This window comes from Homo sapiens, chromosome 19 (genome assembly GCF_000001405.40).
Source record: "Homo sapiens chromosome 19, GRCh38.p14 Primary Assembly".
Classification (NCBI taxonomy): Eukaryota; Metazoa; Chordata; class Mammalia; order Primates; family Hominidae; genus Homo; species Homo sapiens.
In genome coordinates this window covers 53,815,268-53,841,615 of record NC_000019.10, presented here as the reverse complement: position 1 = coordinate 53,841,615, position 26,348 = coordinate 53,815,268, and the positions used below count along the sequence as shown (strand labels likewise).

The 26,348-nt window shown below is 47.3% G+C and overlaps 1 protein-coding gene across 15 annotated transcripts in view, besides 7 other annotated features; it reads left to right on the top strand.

Moving 5' to 3' along the window:
• Positions 522-1,289: an enhancer, noted in NCBI's record as "H3K27ac-H3K4me1 hESC enhancer chr19:54343581-54344348 (GRCh37/hg19 assembly coordinates)". NCBI's record gives its function as "activates a minimal SCP1, AML or CMV promoter by ChIP-STARR-seq in primed H9 embryonic stem cells {active_cell/tissue: H9 hESC(primed)}" and the evidence as "EXISTENCE:reporter gene assay evidence [ECO:0000049][PMID:30033119]".
• Positions 1,290-2,059: an enhancer, noted in NCBI's record as "H3K27ac-H3K4me1 hESC enhancer chr19:54342811-54343580 (GRCh37/hg19 assembly coordinates)". NCBI's record gives its function as "activates a minimal SCP1, AML or CMV promoter by ChIP-STARR-seq in primed H9 embryonic stem cells {active_cell/tissue: H9 hESC(primed)}" and the evidence as "EXISTENCE:reporter gene assay evidence [ECO:0000049][PMID:30033119]".
• Positions 4,366-5,135: an enhancer, noted in NCBI's record as "OCT4-NANOG-H3K27ac hESC enhancer chr19:54339735-54340504 (GRCh37/hg19 assembly coordinates)". NCBI's record gives its function as "activates a minimal SCP1, AML or CMV promoter by ChIP-STARR-seq in primed H9 embryonic stem cells {active_cell/tissue: H9 hESC(primed)}" and the evidence as "EXISTENCE:reporter gene assay evidence [ECO:0000049][PMID:30033119]".
• Positions 6,676-7,443: an enhancer, noted in NCBI's record as "H3K27ac hESC enhancer chr19:54337427-54338194 (GRCh37/hg19 assembly coordinates)". NCBI's record gives its function as "activates a minimal SCP1, AML or CMV promoter by ChIP-STARR-seq in primed H9 embryonic stem cells {active_cell/tissue: H9 hESC(primed)}" and the evidence as "EXISTENCE:reporter gene assay evidence [ECO:0000049][PMID:30033119]".
• Positions 8,214-8,983: an enhancer, noted in NCBI's record as "NANOG-H3K27ac-H3K4me1 hESC enhancer chr19:54335887-54336656 (GRCh37/hg19 assembly coordinates)". NCBI's record gives its function as "activates a minimal SCP1, AML or CMV promoter by ChIP-STARR-seq in primed H9 embryonic stem cells {active_cell/tissue: H9 hESC(primed)}" and the evidence as "EXISTENCE:reporter gene assay evidence [ECO:0000049][PMID:30033119]".
• Positions 9,754-10,521: an enhancer, noted in NCBI's record as "OCT4-NANOG-H3K27ac-H3K4me1 hESC enhancer chr19:54334349-54335116 (GRCh37/hg19 assembly coordinates)". NCBI's record gives its function as "activates a minimal SCP1, AML or CMV promoter by ChIP-STARR-seq in naive and primed H9 embryonic stem cells {active_cell/tissue: H9 hESC(naive and primed)}" and the evidence as "EXISTENCE:reporter gene assay evidence [ECO:0000049][PMID:30033119]".
• Positions 11,292-12,061: an enhancer, noted in NCBI's record as "H3K27ac-H3K4me1 hESC enhancer chr19:54332809-54333578 (GRCh37/hg19 assembly coordinates)". NCBI's record gives its function as "activates a minimal SCP1, AML or CMV promoter by ChIP-STARR-seq in primed H9 embryonic stem cells {active_cell/tissue: H9 hESC(primed)}" and the evidence as "EXISTENCE:reporter gene assay evidence [ECO:0000049][PMID:30033119]".
• The window catches only part of NLRP12 (NLR family pyrin domain containing 12), a 30,820-nt gene continuing 21,684 nt past the window's right edge, over positions 17,213-26,348 (top strand). For 9 of the 15 annotated variants that reach the window (XM_017027462.2, XM_047439676.1, XM_047439673.1 and 6 more), the window contains 1 exon segment: positions 17,213-17,730. In XM_017027462.2, the coding sequence (XP_016882951.1) occupies positions 17,442-17,730 (289 nt within the window). In that variant the 5' untranslated portion in view covers positions 17,213-17,441. 15 annotated transcript variants of the gene reach the window in all.

The window sequence follows — 26,348 nt, the reverse complement described above, 5'->3', positions numbered from 1 at the left end:
CTGTGTAACCCAAGCCTCAATTTGCTCAGGTGTAAAAGATGCATTCCACCTTCCAAGAATGTTCATTAATTTTCTTAAGTACAGGCATATGTGGAGCCCAAGGTCGTTACAGCTAACTCTGGTCCCCTTAGTTTTATATACTTTGACCAGTAGGAGTGTTCCTAAAACTAGCTAGATAGGAGAGTTGTTTTATAGAAATTATATCTCTTCTTGGCAATAAAACTAGGGTACCTTCTATCTGAAGCCTGAATTGAAAACGTAATACCAATTTGGACCAAGCACAGTTGCTCACGCCTGTAATCTCAGCACTTTGGGAGGCCAAGGAGGGAGGATTGCTTGAGCCCGGGAGTTTGAGACCAGCCTGGGCAACATAGTGAAACCTCATCTCTACTAAAAATTAAAAAAAGAAATTAGCCAGATGTGCTGGTACGTGCCTGAAACCCCAGCTACTCAGGAGACTGAGGCAGGAGGATGGCTGGAGCCCAGGAGTTTTGAGGTTTCAGTGAGTCATGATTGCACCACTGTACTCCAGCCTGGGTGACAGAGTGAGATCATGTCTCAAAAAAAAAAAAAAAAACAACTAAGAATAAAAAAAATAAAAACGCAAAACATGGTACCATTTTAGTTTTTCTTTCTTGTTTTTTTTTTTTTTTTTTTTGAGATGTTGTCTTGCTCTGTCGTCCAGGCTGGAGTGCAATGGCACAATCTCGGCTCCCTGCAACCTCTGCCTCCCAGGTTAAAGGGATTCTCCTGCCTCATCCTCCCGAGTAGCTAGGATTGCAGGCATGCACCACCAAGCCCAGCTGATTTTTGTATTTTTAGTAGAGACGGGGTTTCACCATGTTGGCCAGGCTGGGCTCGAACTCCTGACCTCAGGTGATCTGCCCAACTCGGCCTCTCAAAGTGCTGGGATTAGAGGCTTGAGCCACCGCTCCCGGCCTGTTCTGGACTTTTTAAAAGCATTTTAATTAATTTAAAGTATTAATTTAGGCCAGGCACGGTGGTTTACGCCTGTAATCCCAGCACTTTGGAAGGCTGAGGCGGGCGGATCACCTGAGGTCAGGAGTTCGAGACCAGCCTGACCAGCATGGCAAAACCCCATCTCTACTAAAAATGCACAACAAATTAGCCAGGCATGGTGACGCACACCTGTAATCCCAGCTACTCAGAAGGCTGAGGCAGGAGAATCGCTAGATTCCGGGAGGCAGAGATTGCAGTGAGCCAACATCGCGCCACTGCACTCCAGCCTGGGCGACAGAACAAGACTCCATCTCAAAAAAAAATAAAAATAAAAAAAGAATTAATTTAAAAACAACAAGAACAAAAGAATGAAAAGTAATTCGTGAATAACCTTTTCATATTGATTGCATGAAATAATAATGTTTTGGATATAGTGGGTTAAATAAAATACATTAACTTTATTTGTATTGATTTATATAATTTTTTTTTTTTTTCAGACAGAGTCTCACTCTGTCGGTCAGGCTGGAGTGCAGTGGCACGATCTCGGCTCACTACAACCTCCGTCTCCTGGGCTTAAGTAATCCTCCTGCCTCAGCCTCCCGAGTAGCTGGGATTACAGGCACCCACCACCACGCCGGGCTAATTTTTGTATTTTTAATAGAGACAGGGTTTCACCATGTTGGCCAGGCTGGTCTCAAACTCCTGACCTCAGGTAATCTGCCCGTCTCGGCCTCCCAAAGTGCTGGAATTACAGGCGTGAGCCACCGCACCCGGCCTTAATTTTTTTTTTTTTTTAAACAGAGTTTTACTCTTGTTGCCCAGGCTCGAGTGCAATGGCGCGATCTCGGCTCACCACTCCCTCTGCCTCCCAGGTTGAAGTGATTCTCCTGCCTCAGCCTTCCTAGTAGCTGGGATTACAGGCATGCGCCACCACACCCAGCTAATTTTGTATTTTCAGTAGAGACGGGGTTTCTCCATGCTGGTCAGGCTGGTCTCAAACTCCTGACCTCAGGTAATCCGCCTACCTCGGCCTCCCAAAGTGCTGGGATTACAGGCGTGAGCATGAAGGGGTGGGTTGCCCCTCCACACCTGTGGGTGTTTCTCGTTAGGTGGAACAAGAGACTTGGAAAAGAAAAAGACACAGAGACAAAGTATAGAGAAAGAAATAAGGGGGCCCAGGGGACCAGCGTTCAGCATACGGAGGATCCCCCGGCCTCTGAGTTCCCTTAGTATTTATTGATCATTTTGGGGTGTTTCTCAGAGAGGGGGATGTGGCAGGGTCATAGGATAATAGTGGAGAGAAGGTCAGCAGATAAACACGTTAACAAAGGTCTCTGTATCACAGACAAGGTAAAGAATTAAGTGCTGTGCTTTAGATATGCATACACATAAACATCTCAATGCCTTACGGAGCAGTATTGCTGCCCGCATGTCCCACCTCCAGCCCTAAGGCGGTTTTCCCCTATCTCAGTAGATGGAACATACAATCAGGTTTTACACCGAGACATTCCATTGCCCAGGGACGGGCAGGAGACGGATGCCTTCCTCTTGTCTCAACAGCAAAGAGGCATGCCTTCCTCTTTTACTAATCCTCCTCAGCACAGACCCTTTACGGGTGTCGGGCTGGGAGACGGTCAGGTCTTTCCCTTCCCATGAGGCCATATTTCAGACTATCACATGGGGAGAAACCTTGGACAATACCTGGCTTTCCTAGGCAGAGGTCCCTGCGGCCTTCCGCAGTGTTTGTGTCCCTGGGTACTTGAGATTAGGGAGTGGTGATGACTCTTAAGGAGCATGCTGCCTTCAAGCGTCTGTTTAACAAAGCACATCCTGCACCGCCCTTAATCCATTTAACCCTGAGTGGACACAGCACATGTTTCAGAGAGCATGGGGTTGGGGGTAAGGGCATAGATTAACAGCATCTCAAGGCAGAAGAATTTGTCTTAGTACAGAACAAAATGGAGTCTCCTATGTCTACTTCGTTCTATACAGATACAGTAACAATCCGATCTCTCTTGCTTTTCCCCACAGAGCCACCATGCCTGGCCCTTATTTTTTATTTCAATAGAGTCTTAGGGAGCAAGTGGTGTTTGGTTACATTAATAAGTTATTTAGTGGTGTTTTCTGAGATTTTGGTGCATCCATCACCCGAGCAGGGCACGCTATGCCAAATGTGTACTCTTTTATCCATCACCCCTACTCCCACCTTTTCCCCAAGTCCCCAGAGTTCAATGTATCATTCTTATGCCTTTGCGACCTCATAGCTTAGCTCCCACTTATGAGTAACAACATGTGATGTTTGGTTTTCTATTCCTGAGTTACTTCACTGAAAATAATAGCCTCGGATTCCACCCAGGTTGCTGTGAATGCCATTATTTTGTTCCTCTTTATGGCTGAATAGTATTCCATGGCATATATATATATATATATACCACATTTTCTTTATCCACTCGTTGATTGATGGGCATTTGGGCTGGTTCCATATTTTTGCAATTACAAATTGTGGCAATGAACATGTGTGTGCAAGTATCTTTTCTGTATAATGACTTCTTTTCCGCTGGGTAGACACCCAGGAGTGGGATTGCTGCATCAAATGGTAGGTCTATTTTGATTTTATTTTATTTATTTACTTATTTGAGACAGAGTCTCACTGTGTCGCCCAGGCTGGAGTGCAGTGGCACGATCTTGGCTCACTGCAACCTCTGCCTTCTGGGTTCAAGTGATTCTCCTGCCTCAGCCTCCTGAGTAGCTGGGATTACAGGTGCCCGCCACCACACCCGGCTAATTTTTTTGTGTTTTTAGTAGAGACGGGGCTTCACCATATTGGCCAGGGTGGTCTTGAACTCCTGACCTTGTGATCCACCCGCCTCGGCCTCCCAAAGTGCTGGGGTTACAGGCATGAGCCATCGCACCTGGCCCTACTTTATTTTTGTAATTGTAATTTTATTTTATTTTTACACAGATGCCTGTATGTGACAGAGTAGGGGTGACGGCTGCGATTAGTGTGGCCCAAGTCCATTGTTTGCCCCTGTACCTCATGGCTGTGTGACCTTGGCCAAGTGAACAAGGGCAAATTTGCCCTTTCTGTTTTTGGGTGTTTTTTTGTTTTGTTTTTGTTTGTTTAGACACGGTCTCACTCTGTTGCCAAGGCTGAAGTGCAGTGGTGCGATCACAGCTCACTGCAACCTTGACTTACTGGGCTCAGGTGATGCTCCCACCTCAGCCTCACGAGTAGCTGGGACTGTGCCACCATGCTCAACTAATTTTGTATTTTTTGTAGAGATGGGGTTTCTCCATGTAGCCCATTTCATGCGCGTCCGTGTGAAGAGACCACCAAACAGGCTTTGTATGAGCAACATGGCTGTTTATTTCACATGGGTGCAGGCGGGCTGAGTCCGAAAAGAGAGTCAGCAAAGGGAGATAAGGGTGGGGCCGTTTTATAGGATTTGGGTAGGTAAAGGAAAATTACAGTCAAAGGGGGTTTGTTCTCTGGTGGGTAGGAGTGGGGGTCGCAAGGTGCTCAGTGGGGGAGCTTCTTGAGCCAGGATGAGCCAGGAAAAGGACTTTCACAAGGTAATGTCATCAGTTAAGGCAAGGACCGGCCATTTACACTTCTTTTGTGGTGGAATGTCATCAGTTAAGGTGGGGCAGGGCATATTCACTTCTTTTGTGATTCTTTAGTTACTTCAGGCCATCTGGGCGTATACGTGCAGGTCACAGGGGATGCGATGGTTTGGCTTGGGCTCAGAGGCCTGACATTCCTGCCTTCTTATATTAATAAGAAAAATAAAACAAAATAGTGTTGAAGTGTTGGGGCGGCGAACATTTTTGGGGGGTGGTATGGAGAGAGAACGGGCGATGTTTCTCAGGGCTGCTTCAAGCGGGATTAGGGGCGGCGTGGGAACCTAGAGTGGGAGAGATTAAGCTGAAGGGAGGTCTTGTGGTGAGGGGTGATATTGTGGGGATGTTAGAAGAAACGTTTGTCGTATAGAATGATTGATGATGGCCTGGATACGGTTTTGTATGAATTGAAAAACTAAATGGAATAACAGAAGGAGAAAAACAGGTATAAAAGGTCTAAGAATTGGGATGACTCAGGATATCTGATTAGAGAGTGCCTAAGGAGATTCAGCATAGTCCTGCCAGCAAAGATTATTTATTTACTTCAAGAGTTAAGAGTGGCAGTTTGGGGATAGCACCAAGAGATATCAGCTGTGATGGCTTGGAAAAACAGTGTAAACCGGCCGTGTAAACAAGAGCAGGGCATGTATGAGTAGTTGAGAATGGTGAATAGGAGTATGATTAGACAGAAGATAGTAGGGATGACAAGTATTTTTTGGGGCACAGTCTAAGTTGGTCTGGTGTCGAATGAGACTGGGGCCTAATAAAAAGGAGCGTCTATACAGGAGCTTAAATGGGCTGTACCCTGTAGCATTCCCAGGACAGGCCTGAATTCTGAGAAGGGAAAGTGGTAAAAGTATTGTCCAGTCCTTTTTAAGTTGGTGACTGAGCTTGGTGAGGTGTGTTTTTAAAAGACCTTTAGTCCATTCTAATATTCTTGAAGACGGAGGACCGTAGGGATATAAAGGTTTCACTGAATACTAAGAGCCTGAAAAACTGCTTGGCTGATTTGACTAATAAAGGCTCATCTGTTATCAGACTGTATAGAGGTGGGAAGGCTAAACTGAGGAATTATGTCTGACAGGAGGGAAGAAATGACTGCGGTGGTTTCTCAGACCCTGTAGGAAAGGCCTCTACCTATCCAGTGAAAGTATTTATCTAGACTAAGAGGTATTTTAGTTATCTGACTCAGGGCATGTTGAGTAAAGCTAATTTGCCAGTCCTGAGTGGGGCAAATCCTCGAGCTTGATGTGTAGGGAAGGGAGGGGGGCCTGAATAATCCCTGAGGAGTAGTAGAATAGCAGATGGAACACTGAGAAGTTATTTCCTTGAGGATAGATTTCCACGATGGAAAGGAAATGAGAGGTTCTAAGAGGCAGGCTAGTGGCTTGTACTATAGCATAACCTGCCTTTGCTGGTGTGTGGCGATTAGGCCTGGTGGAACCACCATCAATAAATCAAGCGTGATCAGGGTGAGGAACAGGAAAGAAGGAAATTTGGGGAAATGAGGTGAATGTCAGGTGGATCAGAGAGATACAGTCATGGGGGTCAGGTGTGGTACCTGGAATAATGTGGGAGGCTGGATTGAAGTCCGGGCCAGGAACAATGGTAATTGTGGGACTCAACAAAGAGTGAGTGCAGCTGAAGGAGCCGGGAAGCAGAAAGTATATGCGTCAGGTATGAGGAAGAAAATAGATTTTGGAAGTTATGAGAACTGTAGAGAGTGAGTTGAGCATAGTTTGTGATTTTGAGGGCCTCTAAAAGTATTAATGCAGCGGCAGCCCCTGCACGCAGACATGAGGGCTAGGCTAAAACAGTAAGGTCAAGTTGTTTGGACAGAAAGGCTACAGGGTGCAGTCCTGGCTCTTGTGTAAGAATTCTGACCACGCTAACCATGCCTAGGAAGGAAAGGAGTTGTTTTGTAGAAGGTGCTGGGGTTTGAGAGATCACTAGGACACGATTGGCAGGGAGAGCACGTGCGTTTTTATGAGAATTATGCCCAGATAGGTAACAGATGAGGATGAAATTTGGGCTTGACTGAAGTAATGGGGGCTGTCTGTGAAGCCTTGCGGCAGTACAGCCCAGGTAATTTGCTGAGCCTAATGGGTGTCAGGGTCAGTCCAAGTGAAAGCGAAGAGAGGCTGGGATGAAGGGTGCAAAGGAATAGTAAAGAAAGCATGTGTGAGATCCAGAACAGAATAATGGGTTGTAGAGGCAGGTACTGAGGATAGGAGAGTATATGGGTTTGGCACCACGCGGTGGATAGGCAAAACAATTTGGTTGATAAGGTGCAGATCCTGAACTAACTTGTAAGGCTTGTCTGGTTTTAGGACAGGTAAAATGGGGGAATTGTAAGGAGAGTTTATAGGCTTTAAAAGGCTATGCTGTAGCAGGCGAGTGATAACAGGCTTTAATCTTTTTAAAGCGTGCTGCGGAATGGGATATTGGCGTTGAGTGGGGTAAGGGTGATTAGGTTTTAATGAGATGGTAAGGGGTGCATGATCGGTCGCCAAGGAGGGAGTAGAGGTATCTTATACTCGTGGGTTAAGGTGGGGGGATACAAGAGGAGGACACAAAGGAGGCTTTGGATTGGGAAGAAGGGCGGCAATGAGATATAGCTGTAGTCCAGGAACAGTCAGGGAAGCAGATAATTTAGTTAAAGTGTCTCAGCCTAATAAGGGAACTGGGCAGGTGGGGATAACTGAAAACGAGTGCTTGAAAGAGTATTGTCTAATTGGCACCAGAATTGGGGGAGTTTTAAGAGGCTTAGAAGCCTGGCTGTCAATACCCACAACAGTTATGGAGGCAAGGGAAACAGACCCTTGAAAAGAAGGTAATGTGGAGTGGGTAGCCTCCGTACTGATTAAGAAGGGGACAGACTTACCCTCCACTGTGAGTTACCTAAAGCTCGGCATCCGTGATGGTCTACGGGGCTTCTGAGGCGATCAGGCAGCATCAGTCTTCAGCCGGTAAGCCGAGAAGGAGTCAGTCAGAGAGCCCTGGGCTAGAGTTCCAGGGGCTCTGGGAGTGGCTGCCAGGTGAGTTGAACAGTCCGATTTTCAGTGGGGTCCCACACAGATGGGACGCGGCTTAGGAGGAATCCCGGGCTGCGGGCGTTCCTTGGCCCAGTGGCCAGATTTCCAGCATGTGTAGCAAGTTCCTGGGGGAAGAAGGTTCTGGAGGAACGCCTGGCTGCTACAGTTCAGGCATTTGGAAGTTCTTGTGTGCTGGAGATGTGGCTGGGGTTTGTCTCACAGTGGAGGCAAGGAATTGCAACTTTTTTCTGTTATTACACACCTTGAAGGTGAGGTTAATTAAGTCCCGTTGTGGGGTTCGAGGGCCAGATTCCAGTTTTTGGAGTTTTATTTCATGTCGGGAGCAGATTGGGTAATAAAATGTATGTTGAGAATAAGACGGCCTTTTGACCTTTTAGGGTCTAGGGCGGTATAGCGTCTAAAGGTTGCTGCCAAACGAGCCATGACCTGGGCTGGGTTTTCATCTTTACCTTGGGTAGTTTCTTTAAGTTTGTCATAATGAACAGCTTTGTAAGCTGCTTTTTTAAGCCCTTCAACTAGGCAGGAAACCATGTAATCTCGCCTAGCTATACCTGGGGAATTTGCCTGGTAGTTCCACTGGGGATCCTCTCGGGGAACTGCTCTAATGCCTTCCTGGAGGTCTGGCTCATGAAGCCAGTGGTTAGCAGCATGAGATTGGGCTAGAGAACAAACTCTTTCCCGTTCATCTGGGGAGAGGGTAGAAGTCAGGATGACATTTAAGTCACTCCAGGTTGTTGTAGGACAGAGTTAGATATTGGAATTCCTGTATATGTTTAGTGGGGTCTGATGAGAAAGTGCCTAAACGTTGACTGATCTGAGAGAGGCGTGATAGAGAAAAAGGTACATGTACCCTGACTGCCTTCAGCTCCAGCCACCTCTCTAAGAGGAAATTCTTGGGCAGGTGGGGAGGAGCTAGTCGCGGAACTAAACTGTAAGCCGGGCCGGGTGTGAGGAGGGGAGGTGGTAGAAGGATTATAGGGTGGAGGAGCGGAGGCTGAGGAAGAATTGGGACCTAGCTCGGCCTGGCGAGGAGGGGAGAGGTCAGACGGGTCTGTAGAAAAGGAAGATTAGAAAGACTCAGCGACGCTTGGGGTTGGTACTGAGGGGACAGGCGGGAGGGAAAGAAGGAAGATTTGGGACGAGTTGCACTGGGCACAGAGACTAGGAAGGGACTGATGTGTAAAAGAATGCCTGGACGTCAGGCACCTCAGACCATTTGCCCATTTTACGACAAGAATTATTTAGATCTTGCAGGATGGAAAAATTGAAAGTGCCGTTTTCCGGCTATTTGGAACTGCTGTCCAGTTTGTATTGGGGTCAAGCGGCATTGCAGAAGAAAATAAGGCATTTAGGTTTTAGGTCAGGTGTGAGTTGAAGAGGTTTTAAGTTTTTGAGAACACAGGCTAAGGGAGAAGGAGGAATGGAAGGTGGAAACTTACCTATAGTGAAGGAGGAAAGCCCAGAGAAAAGAGTAGAGACACGGAGAAGGGGTGGGGGGTTCTTGCCCTCCAGGAAAGCAGAGAAGGGGTTGGGGCACGGAAATAAGGGATTGGGGCACACAGATAAGAGGTCAGGGTGTGGAAATAAGGGATTGGGGCGCAGAGATAAGAGGTTGGGGTGCGGAAATAAGCGATTGGGGGGTTCTTGCCCCCTAGGAAAGCGGGACTTGCCGCTGAGGGTGAAGGACCAAGGCAGGCGTCCCTGCGTGGTCTGACACCCTTGAAATGTGAGTGTATAATCAGAGAGGCGTCCCTGTAATGATTAAACGCCAAGGGAAGGCTGCCTTCCCAGTCCGTGACCGGCGCCGGAGTTTTGGGTTCACGGATAAAACGTGTCTCTTTTGTCTCTACCAGAAAATGAAAGGAATTGAAATTAAGAGAAGGGAGAGATTGAAGTGTGGCGCCAAGATTGAAAGGAGAAAGAGGTTGAGGGATAGTGAGGGAGGTTGGAGAAGAGAGTAAAAAGAGGCCGCTTACCAGATTTGAAATTGGTGAGATGTTTCTTGGGCTGGTCGGTCTGAGGACCTGAGGTCGTAAGTGGATGTTTCTCACGGAGCAAAGAGCAGGAGGACAGGGGATTGATCTCCCAAGGGAGGTCCCCCGATCCGAGTCACGGCACCAAATTTCACGCGCGTCCGTGTGAAGAGACCACCAAACAGGCTTTGTGTGAGCAATAAAGCTGTTTATTTCACGTGGGTGCAGGTGGGCTGAGTCCGAAAAGAGAGTCAGCGAAGGGAGATAAGGGTGGGGCCGTTTTATAGGATTTGGGTAGGTAAAGGAAAATTACAGTCAAAGGGGGTTTGTTCTCTGGTGGGTAGGAGTGGGGGTCGCAAGGTGCTCAGTGGGGGAGCTTTTTGAGCCAGGATGAGCCAGGAAAAGGACTTTCACAAGGTAATGTCATCAGTTAAGGCAAGGACCGGCCATTTACACTTCTTTTGTGGTGGAATGTCATCAGTTAAGGTGGGGCAGGGCATATTCACTTCTTTTGTGATTCTTTAGTTACTTCAGGCCATCTGGGCGTATACGTGCAGGTCACAGGGGATGCGATGGCTTGGCTTGGGCTCAGAGGCCTGACAGCCCAGGCTGGTCTCAAACTCCTGGGCTCGAGCAATCCTCCTGGCTCATCCTCCCAAAATGCTAGGATTACAGGTTTGAGACACTGCGCCCGGCCTGCCCTTTTTTTTGCCCAGGCTGGAGTACTATGGTGCTATCTTGGCTCACCGCAACCTCCGCCTCCTGAGTCCAAGCGATCCTCCTGCCTCAGCCTCCCGAGTAACTGGGATTACAGGCATGTGCCACCACACCCAGCTAATTTTGTATTTTTAGTAGAGATGGGGTTTCTCCATGTTGGTCAGGTGGAGCTCGAACTCCTGACCTCAGGTAATCTGCCCACCTCGGCCTCCCAAAGTGCTGGGATTACAGGCGTGAGCTGCCACGCCCAGCCTGCCCTCTTTTTTTAAACTGGAAAGTCCATCTTCTCTTGCCCTAGGACATCGGAGCTCCTGGTTCCCAGGCCTTTGGTCCTGGAGTGAATTCCACACCAGCTTTCCTGCTTCTACAGCTGGCAGCTGGCAGATGGTGCAACTCCTAGGGCTCTGCATGCCTGTGAGCCAGTCCCCATAATAAATCCCTTTCTCTCTAACTCTCTGTGTGTGGATGTCTCCCTTCCATTGATTCTGTTTCTCTGAGGAAACTTAGCTAATACAGAGGGAGATTATTGGTCTGAGAAGGAAGGAACATAATACATTTTCTTTAAGTGCCACCTACTTCTCCCTGATACTAAGTTTTAAGTATCATCCGGCTGAGTGAGGTGGCTCATGCCTGTAATTTCAGGACTTTGGGAGGCCAAGGCGGGCAGATCACTTGAGGTCAGGAGTTCGAGACCAGCCTGGCCAACATGGTGAAACCCCATCTCTACTAAAAATACAAAACTTAGCCGGGCATGGTGGTGGGTGCCTGTAATCCCAGCTACTGCGGAGACTGAGACATGAGAATCACTTAAACCTGGGAAGCGGAGGTTGCAGTGAGCTGAGAAGGCACCACTGCACTCCAGTCTGGGCAACAGAGTGAGATTCCATCTCAAAAAAAAAAAAAAACCAAAGTTTTAGTACCATCAGCTGTGGCTGAATCTTCCCGATTGATCAGGGCAAGGGTAGTGGAGCCTGTGGTGGGGCTGGACCCTGTGCAACTGTTCCTAAAACCCACAGGGAAAGTCACAGCCAGGATGTTTCCTGCCAGGGTCTGTGGTAAAAGTGAGGACATAGCTCACAGGGGAGGAAGTTTCACAACCCCTACACTCAGGCCCTGATGAAAGTGACTGTGGCTGGGCGCGGTGGCTCACGCCTGTAACCCCAGCACTTTGGAAGGCCGAGGCGGGTGGATCACGAGGTCAGGAGATCGAGATCATCCGTCTCTACTAAAAATACAAAAATTAGCTGGGAGTGGTGGCAGGTGCCTGTAATCGCAGCTACCCGGGATGCGGAGACAGGAGAATTGCTTGAACCCAGGAGGTGGAGGTTGCAGTGAGCTGAGATAACATCACTGCACTCCAGCCTTGTGACAGAGCAAGACTCCATCTCATTAGAAAAAAAAAAAAAAAGGAAGAAGAAGACTGCATCCTAGCAGCCCCTGGGCAACTTTTGAGTGCTATATGATGGTCTGCAGGTGACTTTGCTACTTTGGACCTCAGTCTATCCCTCTTTCAAATTGGAGGGTTGGCCTCATTGTACAAGCTGATGAGGATTTTAGCTGCTTGAAGTTTGGAGCCAGAACTGGCTTTCAGAGTCGTCTCCATCATTTTCCAGCACTGCTGTGTAGGCCACACACTCAGAGCTTCCCTCTCAGCCTCAGTTTCCCCATTCATAGGTGGAGAATGATGATTTCCATTTTCTAGCCAGTTCGTGGTGAGCTAGTGATGCTGGTGATGGTCATGGGAACAGTGGGTAGCACTCGGTATCCTCTCTATGTGACAACAAAGAGGCACAGAAACCTCAGATGTGGCCTCCCACGGGACAGTCATTCAATGCCAGTTAGAGACACCATTTTGTCACACTGCCTGTAAAAGCAAATCAGGCCAGGCATGGTGGCTCACGCCTGTAATCCCAGCACTTTGGGAGGCCGAGGCAGGTAGATCACCTGAGGTCAGGAGTTTGAGACCAGCCTGACCAACACAGTGAAACCCTGTCTCTACTAAAAATACAAAAATTAGCCGGGTGTAGTGGCACGCGCCTGTGGTCCCAGCTACTTGGAGGCTGAGGCACGAGAATCGCTTGAACCCGAGAAGAGGAGATTGCAGTGAGCCAAGATGGCGCCATTGCACTCCAGCCTGGGCAGAAAGAGCGAAACTGTCTCAGAAAAAGCAAAAAAACAAAACAAAAAAACGCAGCAAATCCATGTTCACAACGTGCTAGCGAGCAGCATAGGTTTTACTGATGATGGGTTTGGTTGGGGTAGAAGACAGTTTTCATCGTACACCATATAGTAAAGCAATTTAAATTCCTATTACTCATCTCCATAAACCCTCCAAATGTTCTTCCCAGGCACCTGACACCTCCTATTTCCTTTCCTTCTGCCTTTCCCCACGTGGCTTCTAAAATGCCTTTTTATCCTGAATGATTTAGTTTTACCTGCAAACAAGCAAACACCATACTGCAAAATTTCTCCAGTTAACAGATTTCATACTCAAGTGACTTCTCAAAGTATTCCCTCAAAGGAAACAGGTCTCTTCCGGAATGGCAAAAGGGAAATTCTGCTGATAGAAAAACAAGCATTTCTCTGTGCCTTTCTAGTACTAACACAGAGAAATGTTTCTCAGCAGAATCACTAGGGGAGCTTTATATTATAAAAACATGTATTTAGCCAGGCGTGGTGGTTCACACTTGTAATCCCAGCACTTTGGGAGGCTGAGGTGGGAGGATCACTTGAGCTCAGGTGTTCCAGACCAGCTTGGGCAACATAGTGAGACCTCATCTCTATTCAAAAAATTAATATAAGAAAAAAAGGAAAAAGAAACATATGTTTGATGGCCCCTGCCCCACCAAGATCCTGATTCAGGAAGTCTAGAGAGGGACCAATTTCATATACATATTTATATATTTATAATTCTTATTGTAATGTATATAAAATATTTCATCTATATATAATTTTTTTTTTTGAGACGGAGTCTCACTCTGTGGCCCAGGCTGGAGTGCAGTGGTGTGATCTCGGCTTACTGCAACCTCCGCCTCCCAGGTTCAGGAGATTGTCCTGCCACAGCCTCCCGAGTAGCTGGGATTACAGGCACACGCCACCATGCCTGGATAATTTTTGTATTTTTATTTATTTTTTTATTTTTAATTTGTTGTTGTTGTTGAGACAGAGTCTCACTCAGTCACCCAGGCTGGAGTGCAGTGGCGTGATCTCGGCTCACTGCAACCTCCACCTCCAAGGTTCAAGTGATTCTCGTGCCTCAGCCCCCCGAGTAGCTGGAATTACAGGTGCGCGATAGCACATCCGGCTAATTTTTGTATTTTTAGTAGAGACGGGGTTTCGCCATGTTGGCCGGGCTGGTCTCAAACTCCTGACCTCAAGTGATCTGCCCACCTTGGCCTCCGAAAGTGCTGGGACTACAGGCGTGAGCCACCACACCCAGCCTTCTATATATAATTTTTATAAATGTCCCTGATGATAATAATTTCTCTTCTAGTTGAAAACCAACAGGGCAAATTAGCACCTGCTTTGAATGGGTTTATCCTTGTGATGCTAGGCAAGTGAGGCCCCAAAACAGGGCTTACCCCGGGATAGTTCTTGGCTTCACACAGGAAAGAATTCAAGGGAGTGGCAAGCAGGTGGTGGTGACAACTTCTATTATTTATTTATTTATTTATTTATTTATTTGAGATGGTGTCTCTGTTACCCAGCCTGGAATGCAGTGATGTGATCTCGGCTCACTGCAACCTCCACTCCTGGGTTCAAGTGATTCTTCTGCCTCAGCCTCCCAAGTAGCTGGGATTACAGGTGCCCACCACCATACCCAGGTTATTTTTGTATTTTTAGTAGAGATGGGGTTTCACCATGTTGGCCAGGCTGGTCTTGAACTCCTGACCTCAAATGATCCACCCGCCTCAGCCTCCCAAAATGCTGGGATTACAGGCGTGAGCCACTGCACCCAGCAAAAAAATTTTTTAAAAAAGGAAAATTGGGCTGGGTGCGGTGTCTCATGCCTGTAATCCCAGCACTTTGGGAGGCCGAGGTGGGAGGATCGCTTGAGCTCAGGAGTTGAAGGCCATCCTGGGCAACATGGTGAAACCCCATCTACTAAAAACAAAAAAAAAAAAAGAAAAAAAAAGGAAAATGGCATTCCTTGTCTTTAGATTCATTCTTGTGTTTCCAGAAATGGCACTAAGCCCAGAAGCAGCTATAGAAGTTGCCAATTCTCTTCTTTCCCCATGAGAAAGTTCTATCTTGAAAGTGGAAGCATGAAGTAGACAGATGTGGATTCAGCTTCCCCCAAGCCTCGCTTCCGAATTCCTAGAAATTAGTTTTACCACCACCTGCAGCAGTGGCGTGGAAGGAGCCTGCGTCGTGAGCCACTTGAGGAAGCTCAGATGGGGTCTGTAGGTAGTTCAGGTTTGCCAAACCTTTCTCCTCCCCTCTAATGATCACTGCCATCCCCACACTCCCAGGATGCACCCACCGCCTGCCCTTACTCAGGCATTATCTCCATCTCCTGAAACATGAAGGCTTCAGCTTCTCGCTCTCCCAATCCAGGCCTCCTCTGTTTGGTCTGCCTTCCACAAGGGCCTTGAGGAATCTTCCTTAACCCAGACCTGACTCCATCCCTCCCCTGCTCAAAACTGCTGCATGCCATGCAACAGAATATTAGTCCTGGAAGGGACTGGATGTGGGAGAATGTCTCATAAAAAGCTGTGAAGGTTTTTTTTGTTTTGTTTTGAGACGGAGTCTTACTCTGTCACCCAGGCTGGAGTGCAATGGCGGGATCTTGGCTCATTGCAACCTCCGCCTCCTGAGTTCAAGTGATTTTCCTGCCCCAGCCTCCTGAGTAGCTGGGACTACAGGCACCCGCCACCAAACCCCAGCTAATTTTTTTTTTCTTTTTTTGAGACAGAGTCTCGCTCTGTTGCCCAGGCTGGAGTGCAGTGGCGCAGTCTCGGCTCACTGCAACCTCTGCTTCCCGGGTTCAAGTGATTCTCCTGCCTCAGCCTCCCAAGTAGCTGGGATTACAGGTGCGTGCCACCAAGCCCGGCTAATTTTTGTATTTTTAGTAGAGACGGGGTTTCACCATGTTGGCCAGGCTGGTCTCAAACTCCTGACCTCAGGTGATCTGCCCGCCTCAGTCTCCCAAAGTGCTGGGATTACAGGTGTGAGCCACTGCGCCTGGCTATGAAGGCTTTTGTGTGTGTGTGTGTGTGTGTGTGTGTGTGTGTGTGTGTGTGTGTGTGTCTGAGGGGTCTTAATTGATTAGGAGCATGAAACAAAGTTGGCATGATGCAGGAGACAGAGGGAATTATAAACTTGCTCTTCCATCAGAATTCATAAATTCTGCTAACACATATTTTGTAGAGATGGGGCCTCACTGTGTTGACCAGTCTGGTGTGAAACTCCTGGCCTCAGGTGATCTACCTGCCTTGGCCTCCCCAAGTGCTAGGATTACAGGCATGAGCCATTGCACCCAGTCACATCTTCCTCTTACACTAACCCTCCTGTCTTCTTCTTATAAAGACTCTTGTGGCTGGGTGCGGTGGCTCACGCCTGTAATCCCAGCACTTTGGGAGGCTGAGGCAGGTGGATCACGAAGTCAGGAGATCAAGACCATCCTGGCTAACATGGTGAAACCCCATCTCTACTAAAAATACAAAAAAAAGAGAATTAGCCAGGCGTGTTGGCGGGCACCTGTAGTCCCAGCTATACGGAAGGCTGAGGCAGGAGAATGGTGTGAACCTGGGAGGCGGAGCTTGCAGTGATCCGAGTTCGTGCCACTGCACTCCAGCCTGGGCAACAGAGCAAGACTCTGTCTCAAAAAAAAGACTCTTGTGATTCCATGGGTCCTGCCCAGATAACCAGGATAATGTCCCCATCTGAAGTGCCTTCATTTGGTCACATATGCTAAGTCTCTTTTGCTATGTAGGGTGAAATGTCACAGGTTCTGGCCATTAGGACATGAATATCTTTGGGGACCATCATCCTGCCTACCGCAAAGTCCCTCTCATGCCACTCTTGTGACTGAGAGAACAGAAAAAAAATAGCAGACCTACGTGAGGTCCTTAATAATTCTCCCTGAGGCTGGGCTCAGTGGCTCATGCCTGTAATCCCAGCACTTTGGAAGGCTGAGGTGGGCGGATCGTTTGAGCTCAGGAGTTCAAGGCCAGCCTGGGCAACATAAGAAGACCTTGTCTCTACCAAAACTACAAAAACTTAGCTGGGCATGGTGGCGCATGTCTGTGGTCCCAGCTACTTGAGAGGCTGAGGTGGGAGAATCGCTGGAACCTGGGAGGCGGAGGTTGCAGTGAGCTGAGATCACGCCAGTGAACTCTAGCCTGGGTGGCAGAGTGAGACTCTGACTCAAAGAAAAAAAAAAAAAAAAAAGCCAGGGACGGTGGCTCACACCTGTAATCCTAGCACTTTGGAAGGCTGAGGCGGGTGGATCACCTGAGGTCAGGAGTTCGAGACCAGCCTGACCAACATGGTGAAACCCTGTCTCTTCTAAAACCACAAAAATTAGCTGGGTGTGGTGTCCGGCGCCTGTAATCCCAGCTACTCAAGGGAAGCTGAGGTGGGAGAATCGCTTGAACCTGGGAGGCAGAGGTTGCGGTGAGCCAAGATCGCAGAGCCAGGGCCACAGAGTAAGACTCTGTCTCAAAAAAAAAAAAATTCTCCCTGGAAGAGGCGCAGTCGCAGTTTTGATAATACACTCTACCACACACACTAGTGAAATGAGGAAAACAAGAGGAAAGCGGAAAGAGAGTGACTGTTTTGTCAAGAGATCCAGGAAGAGACAGCAGAAGTGAAAATCTTTTTCATCAGCCAAGTGGCTCCTCGGATTTCTTAATCTCCCCCCGAACTTCCTCTTCTCCACCCAGAACAGCCATTGGTGAGTGGGGCAGGGCAGGAGGGAACTGAAGAGTGAGAAAGCATTATTTCAGCAAAAGGTCTTTCCTCCCTTGCTCTCTCCTCCAACCACTGGCTCAGCCTCTCCGCCCGCTGCCTGTGAATGATGCAATGGAAGGTGTGCTGGGGTCGCCCTGTGTCCCGTGCATAGGAGCATCTCAGCCTCCAGGTCCTCTCCTTTGGGGCTCACGGCACCCCCATGCTACGAACCGCAGGCAGGGACGGCCTCTGTCGCCTGTCCACCTACTTGGAAGAACTCGAGGCTGTGGAACTGAAGAAGTTCAAGTTATACCTGGGGACCGCGACAGAGCTGGGAGAAGGCAAGATCCCCTGGGGAAGCATGGAGAAGGCCGGTCCCCTGGAAATGGCCCAGCTGCTCATCACCCACTTCGGGCCAGAGGAGGCCTGGAGGTTGGCTCTCAGCACCTTTGAGCGGATAAACAGGAAGGACCTGTGGGAGAGAGGACAGAGAGAGGACCTGGTGAGGGGTAAGGAGGTGGCGGGACAGGCAAGGCTAGAATGCCAGCCGGGTCCAGTGACTCATACCTGTAATCTCAGCACTTTGGGAGGCTGAAGAGGGCAGATCACTTGAGGTGAGGAGTTCAAGACCAGTCTGGACAACATAGTGAGGCTCTGTCTCTACCAAAAATAAAAAAAATTAGCCAGGTGTGGTGGTATACGTCTGTGATCCCAGCTTCTCAGGAGGCTGAGGTGGGAGGATCACTTGAGACCAGAAGGTCGAGGCTGCGGTGAGCTATGATCCTGCCACTGCACCCCAGCCTAGGTGACAGAACGAGACCTTGCCTCAAATATTTAAAATATATTTTTTTAAAATATATATATTTAAAATATATGTTTTAAATATATATTTTAAATAAATATATTTTAAAATATATATTTTAAATATATATTTAAAATATATATTTAAAACATATATTTTAAATATATATATTTAAAACATATATTTTAAATATATATTTAAAATATGTATATAATTATATTATTAAATATATATTAAATATGGTATATATTATATATAAATATAGTATATATTTATTATATAAATATACTATATTATATAAATATGGTATATTATATAAATATATATAAATAATAAATATTATATATTAAATATTTAATACATATATTATTAAAATAAATATTTAAAATACATATATATAAAATCCCTGAGCCTGGGAGATCTGGAATTTATATATATATACACACACGTATATATATGTGTATATATGTGTATATATATGTGTGTGTATATGTGTGTGTGTATATATATTTTAAGAGATGAGGTAGCCAGGTGCAGTGGCTCACACCTATAATCCCAGCACTTTGGGAGGCCAAGGCGGGTGGGTCACCTGAGGTCAGGAATTCGAGATCAGTCTGGCCAACATAGCAAAACCCTGTCTCTACTAAAAATACAAAAATTAGCCAGGCGTGGTGGCACACGCTTATAGTCCCAGCTACATGGGAGGCTGAGGCAGGAGAATCGCTTGAACCTGAGAGGTGGAGATTGCAGTGAGTTGAGATTGCACCACTGTACTCCAGGCTGGGTAACAGAGTGAAACCCCATCTCAAAAATAAATTAAGAAAGAGATGAGGTATCCTTTTTTTTTTTTTTTTTTAAGACTGAGTCTCGCTCTGTTGCCCAGGCTGGAGTGCAGTGGCGCAATCTCCGCTCACTGCAACCTCCGTCTCCCAGGTTCAAGCAATTTTCTGCCTCAGCATCCCGAGTAGCTGAGATTACAGGTACCTGCCACCATGCCTGGCTAATTTTTTGTATTTGTATTTTTTGTAGAGACGGGGTTTCACTATCTTGGCCAGGCTGGTCTTGAACTTCTGACCTCGTGATCCACCCACCTCAGCCTCCCAAAGTGCTGGGATTACGGGCATAAGCCACTGTGCCCGGCCAAGATGAGGTGTCCTTATGTTGCCCGGGCTGGTCTTGAACTCCTGGGCTCAAGCGAGCTTCCACCTTAGCCTCCCAAAGTGCTGGGATTACAGGCATGAATGACCACTGCCTGGCCACCAATTCCCTTTTCTTTCATACTAATCCCTGAGCCTGGGAGATCTGGAATTCTAATTTACGTACACACACATCTATATCTATATAAAAATTTCAACTTTTAGATTCAAGGGGTACATGTGCAGGTTTGTTACATGGGTATATTGAGTGATGCTGAGATTCAGAGTAAGATTGATCCTATCATGCAGGTACTTGAACATAGTAATAGTACCCAATGGTGAGATTTCTCCCCGCCACGAGTCCCCAGTGTCTCTTCTTCCCATCTTTCTGTCCATGAGAACCCAATGTTTAGCTTCCACTTATAAGTGAGAACATGCAGTCTTTGGTTTTCTATTCCTGCATTAGTTTGCTTTGGATAATGGCCTCCAGCTGCGTCCATGTTACTGCAAAGAACATGATTTTGTTCTTTTTTATGACTGTGTACAGAATTCTAATTTCATCCCTTTGGTCTTTGTTCATGCTGTGTTCTGCCTGGAATATTCTCCATCTTCTTTGCCTGGAAAAGTATTACTTACTGAAACCTTGAAGCCACTACCTTCTCTAAAGTAAAGTATTTACTCCTCTTCCCCCACTCCTTCTGATTCCTCGCTCCCACCACTCTGGCTGGCTCAGAAACCCCACTTCTGTGCCTCCTTAGCACTCTTGGATTTCTTTTTGTTGTTGTTGTTGAAACAGAGTCTTGCTCTGTCGCCCAGGCTGGAGTGCAGTGGCGCAATCTCAGCTCACTGCAAGCTCTACCTCCTGGGTTCACGCCATTCTCCTGCCTCAGCCTCCCGAGTAGCTGGGACTGCAGGTGCCCGCCACCATGCCTGGCTAATTTTTTGTATTTTTAATAGAGACGGGGTTTCCCTATGTTAGCCAGGATGGTCTCGATCTCCTGACCTCATGATCCAGCCGTCTCGGCCTCCCAAAGTGCTGTGATTACAGGTGTGAGCCACCGTGCCCAGCCAACATGATTTCTTTTATTATATCTTCTATCTCATAAAATAATCACAATGAGCTGGGTGCGGTGGCTCACGCCTGTAATCCCAGCACTTTGGGAGATTGAGGTGGATGGATCACCTGAGGTCAGGAGTTCGAGACCAGCCTGGCCAACATGGTGAAACCCTGTCTCTACTAAAAATACAAAAAAATTAGCCGGGTGTGGTGGCGGGCGCCAGTAATCCCTGCTAATCTAGAGGCTGAGACAGGAGAATCACTTGAACCCAGGCGGTGGAGGTTGCAGTGAGCGAAGATTAAGCCACTGCACTCCAGCCTGGGTGACAGAGTAAGACTCTGTCTCAAAAAAAAAAAAAAAAAAAAAAGAAAAAATATGATTTATACTCAGGCATAAGCTCAAGAGATAATACATGCAAAGTGCTTAACACAATTCAGAGCAGGTAGCAAGTGCTCAGCAAATATAGGCTATTGCTGAAGTGGCAGAGATGGCACTTGAGCTGTGGAATTGTTTTTTTAAAAATATTTTTATTTTTTACAAAAAATTAGCTGGGCGCAGTGATGGGCGCCTGTAGTCCCAGCTACTCAGGAGGCTGAGGCAGGAGAATGGCGTGAACCTGGGAGGCAGAGCTTGCGGTGAGCTGAGATTGTGCCACTGCACTCCAGCCTGGGTGACAGTGCAAGACTCCGTCTCAAAAAAAAAAAAAATAATTTATTTTTTAGAGATAGGGTCTCACTATGTTGCCCAGGCTAGACTCAAACTCCTGGGCTGAAGTGATCCGCCTGCCTCAGCCTCTTGAACAGCTGGAACTACAGGTGTGCACCACAGAGCCCCATTTGAGCTGTGGTTTTTTGTTTTGTTTTGTTTCTGAGACAGAGTCTCACTCTGTCGCCCAGGCTGGAGTGCAGTGGCACAATCTTGGCTCAGTGCAAGCTCCGCCTCCCGGGTTCCAGTGATTCTCCTGCCTCAGCCTCCTGAGTAGCTGGGACTACAGGTGCGTGCCACCACACCCAGCTAATTTTTGTATTTTTAGTAGAGACGGGGTTTCACCGTGTTGGTCAGGCTGGTCTCGAACTCCTAACCTCAGGTGATCCATCCACCTCGGCCTCCCAAAATGCTGGAATTACAGGCGTGAGCCACTGCACCCTGCTTGAGCTGTGGTTTTTAATGTAATTTCTCACCTGTTTTCTCTACTGTGACATGGACGCCTTCAAAGGCAGAAAGAGTCTTGACTCCCCTGTGTGATTCTCTGCGATTCCAGTGTCTGGCTGGGGCTAGGAACCGAGCAAACTTTGGTGAACATTTGCTGAATGAGTAAGCAAGCCCTGCCAATAACTGGATATACACAGTCACTTCTGCAAAGCTTAATGACTCGTCGTTAATGAGGTGTGCCAGTAGTAGTGTGCTGGGAAACATCTCTGTAAAAAACAAAGTCTTTAATGACTGAAAAAACCAAAGACACTTGTTTGTAGCCTTTCTTCCCTCCTTCCTTCCTTCTTTTCCCTTCTTTTCCCTTTCCTTCCCTCCTTCCTTTCTTTTCTTTTCTCTCCCTCTCCTCTCTTTTTCTCTTTCCCTTTTCTCCACCACCCAGGAGACGGAGGTTGTGGTGAGCCAAGATCCCGCCACTGCACTCCAGCCTGGACAAGAAGAGCAAAACTCCGTCTTAATATACATACATACATATATATATACGTGTGTGTGTGTGTATATATATGTATACATACATATATGTATACATGTGTATATATATACGTATACATACATATATACGCGTATATACGTATACATACATATATATGCGTATATACGTATACATACATATATACGCATATATATACGTATACATACATATATATACGTATACATACACACATATATACACATATGTATACATATATATACACATATGTATATACACACACACACACACACACACACACATATATATATATATATATATATATATATATATATATATATATATATATTAGCCAGGCGTAGTGGCACACGCCTGTAATCCCAGCTACTTGGGAGGCTGAGGCAGGAGAATCACTTGAACCCGGGAGGCGGAGGTTGCAGTGAGCCGAGATCACGCCACTGCACTCCAGCCTGGATGACAAAAGCGAGACTCCATCTCAAAAAAAGAAAAGAAAGAAAAAAGTATCAATTTACTTACTTGTCATATTGTATAATTATATCTAAATGGAAGTGTTACATAGTTATTTTAAGAAATGGAAATAATGTACAAATATAGAATCAAAAGTAAAGTCCCACTTTTCTCCCTCTTCCGCCTAAATCTCTCCCAGCATTGACAATGCATAACCATTTGCCGAGCGTTCTTCCCCGGACTGCATCCGTTTAGTCTACTGAGAGGCAGCTCAGCGTTCCCAAGGAGACAGATGTCTAGCTTTGCTCTTTCTGTCTGTGTGATGCTGGAGAATCGATATGCCCCTGGGCCTCCATCTCCATCTGTAAAACAAGGGCATCAGGCAAGATCGGCAGTTCTCATGTTACTGTGCGTAAGAGTCTCTCGAGACACTTGTGGCCAATGGGGAATCCAAGACCCTCAACCCGTGATTCTGAATCAGCAGGTCTTAGGCAACAGGAATCTGCATTTTGATGTGGCTGGTTCTCGCGGCATGCCTAGGAAACACTGAGGGAGAACATCTCTGAGGCCTTTTTCAGCTGCAATTTTCAAGAATTACCTTTTTTATTTTTATTTATTTATTTTTTTGAGACGGAGTCTCACTCTGTCACCCAGGCCGGAGTGCAGTGGTGCGTTCTCGGCTCACTGCAACCTCCGCCTCCCGGGTTCAAGCGATTCTCCTGCCTCAGCCTCCCGAGTACCTGGGACTACAGGCACCCGCCACCACGCCCGGCTAATTTCGTATTTATAGTAGAGATGGGGTTTCACCATATTAGCCAGGATGGTCTCAATCTCCTGACCTCATGATCCACCCACCTCAGCCTCCCAAAATGTTGGGATTACAGGCGTGAGCCACCGCGCTGGCCTGGATTACCTTTAAAAAAAAAAAATGTGGCCACACCTATAATCCCAGCACTTTGGGAGGCTGAGGCAGGCAGATCACTTGAGCCCAGAAGTTTGAGACTGGTCTAGGCAACATGGCAAAACCCCTTCTCTACAAAATTGACCAGGCACAGTGGTGCATGCCTGCAGACCCAGCTACCTGGGAGGCTGAGATGGGAGGATCACTTAAGCCCAGGAGGTGAAGGCTGCAGTGAGCCAAGATCATGCCACACTACTCCAGCCTGAGCAACAGAGCAAGACCCTCTCTCAAAAAAAAAAAAAAATTGCCAACCAGCTGCAGTGGCTCATGCCTGTAATCCCAGCATGTTGGAGGCTGAGGCACGTGAATCACTTGAGACTAGGAATTTGACAACAGCCTGGCCAACATGGTGAAACCCTGTCTCTACTAAAAATACAAAAATTAGCTGGTCGTGGTTGTACATGCCTGTAATCCCAGCTACTCCGGAGGCTGAGGCAGGAGAATCACTTGAACCCTGGAGGCAGAGGTTGCAGTGAGCCAACATCACACCAGCCTGGACGACACAGTGAGACTCTGTCTCATAAATAAATAAATAAATAAATAGTGCTAAAATACACAAAACATGAAATTTGCCCTCTTTTTCTTTTTTTCTTTGAGATGGAATTTCACTCTTGTTGCCTAGGCTGGAGTGCAGTGGCGCGATCTCGGCTCACTGCAACCTCTGCCTCATGGGTTCAAGCAATTATCCTGCCTCAGCCTCCCAAGTAGCTGGGATTACAGGCATCTGCCACCACGCCCAGCTAATTTTTGTATTTTTAGTAGAGATGGGGTTTCTCCATGTTGGTCAGACTGGTCTTGAACTCCTGACCTCAGGTAATCCACCCACCTTGGCCTCCCAAAGTGCAGGGATTACAGGCATGAGCCACCGCGCCCAGCCTCCTCTTAACCACTTTTTCTTTCTTGAGATGGAGTCTCGCTCCGTCACCAGGCTGGAGTGCAATGATGCGATGTCAGCACACTTCAACCTCTGACTCCCTGGTTCAAGCGATTCTCCTGCCTCAGCCTCCCGAGTAGCTGGGATTACAGGCACGCGCCACCATGCCTGGCTCATTTTTGTATTTTTAATAGAGACAAGGTTTCACCACGTTGGTAAGGCTAGTCTTGAACTCCTGACATCAGGTAATCCCACCTGCCTCGGCCTCCCAAATTGCTGGGACTACAGGTGCCTGCCACCATGCCCAGCTAATTTTTTTTTGTATTTTTAGTAGAGACGGGGTTTCACCGTGTTACCCAGGATGGTCTCGATCTCCTGACCTTGTGATCCACCCGCCTTGGCCTCCCAAAGTGCTGGGATTACAGGCGTGAGCCACCGCGCCCTGGCCCTCTTAACCATTTTTAAGTGTGCTGCTGAGTGTTGTACATTTACACTGATGTGCATTCAATCTGCAGAACTCTTCATCTTGCAAAACAAACTCGATACCCATTAAACAATTCCCTATTTTCCCCTTTCCTCTCAATGATAACCTTCTCCAATTAAAAATTTTTGAGTGGCCGGGTGCAGTAGCTCACGCCTGTAATCCCAGCACTTTGGGAGGCCGAGGCAGGCAGATCACCTGAGGTCAGGAGTTCAAGACCAGCCTGGCCAACATGGTCAAACCGCATCTCTACTAAAAATACAAAAATTATTTTTTTGTATTTTTACCACCACCTGCGTGGTCATGGGTGCCTGTAGTCCCAGCTACTCGGGAGACTGAGGCAGGAGAATCACTTAAACCTGGGAGGTGAAGATTGTAGTGAGCCGAGATCGCGCCACTGCACTCCAGCCTGGGCGACAGAGCGAGACTGTCTCAAATAAATAAAAATAAATAAATAAAATGGTGCCAGATGACTGAATCTACCAGAGCCAGCACTGAACAGAGGAAAGACAACAGTTTATTAGTCACACAGACTCACAGGGAAGGTGTCCCCATATGCCAAGAGGGTCACATGAAGCTACAGAGACTGTTGGGGGGGGCGGGCTGTGTAGTAACAAGAGGGTGGGGTGCCTCCTGGCTCCTTCAAAAGGATGTTCTTTGCTTTCATGAATCATTTCATGGACTAGCAACCAGCAGGGAGGTGAAAACTTATCAGAGTGAGGACCAGATGGGGTGCCGCTGGCTCAGCTGATGGGAGAACTAGCCAGGTGGGAAGACTTTCTCATGGAGTGAGAGCAAAGGAACTCACACTTAGGACTTTGGGGGGCCTTCTGAGGACCAAAGATGCCAAGGAAGGACTCGATGTGTAGAATCTTATGATATATCCAAACGAAGGCCTTTTTTGGGCTGGGCACGATGGCCCATACCACTATTTCCAACACTTCAAGAGGCCAAGGTCGAAAGACTGCTTGAAGCTAGGAGTTCCAGACCAGCCTGGGTAACATACTGAGACCTAATCTCTACCAAAAAAAAAAAAAAAAATTAAAATATTTTTAAGAGACAGAGTCGCCAGGCGCAGTGGCTCACGCCTGTAATCCCAGCACTTTGGGAGGCCGAGTTGGGTGGATCACGAGGTCAGGAGTTCAAGACCAGCCTGACCCACATGGTGAAACCCTGTCTCTACTAAAAATACAAAATAAATTATCCGGGCGTGGTGACACATGCCTGTAGTCCCAGCTACTCAGGAGGCTGAGGCAGGAGAATCACTTGAACCCGGGAGGCAGAGGTTGCAGTGAGCCAAGATTGTGCCACTGCACTCCAGCCTGGGCAACAGAGCCAGACTCCGTCTCGAAAAGAAAAAAGAAAAGATAATGGATGAGATGTGGCCCAGAGCTGACAAGGGAGGAGTCCAGACTGACTCAGAACTTCCCAGTCAAAAAGATTGGTTGGTGCCAGGTGCAGTGGCTCACATCTGTAAACCCAGCACTTTGGGAGGCCAAGGCAGGTGGATCACAAGGTCAGGAGTTCAAGACCAGCCTGGCCAACATAGTGAAACCCCGTCTCTACTAAAAATACAAAAATTAGCCAGGCATTGTGGCGCACACCTGTAATGCCAGCTACTCGTGAGGCTGAGGCAGGAGAATCGCTTGAATTCAGGAGGTGGAGGTTGTGGTGAGCCGAGATCATGCCACTGCATTCCAGCCTGGGC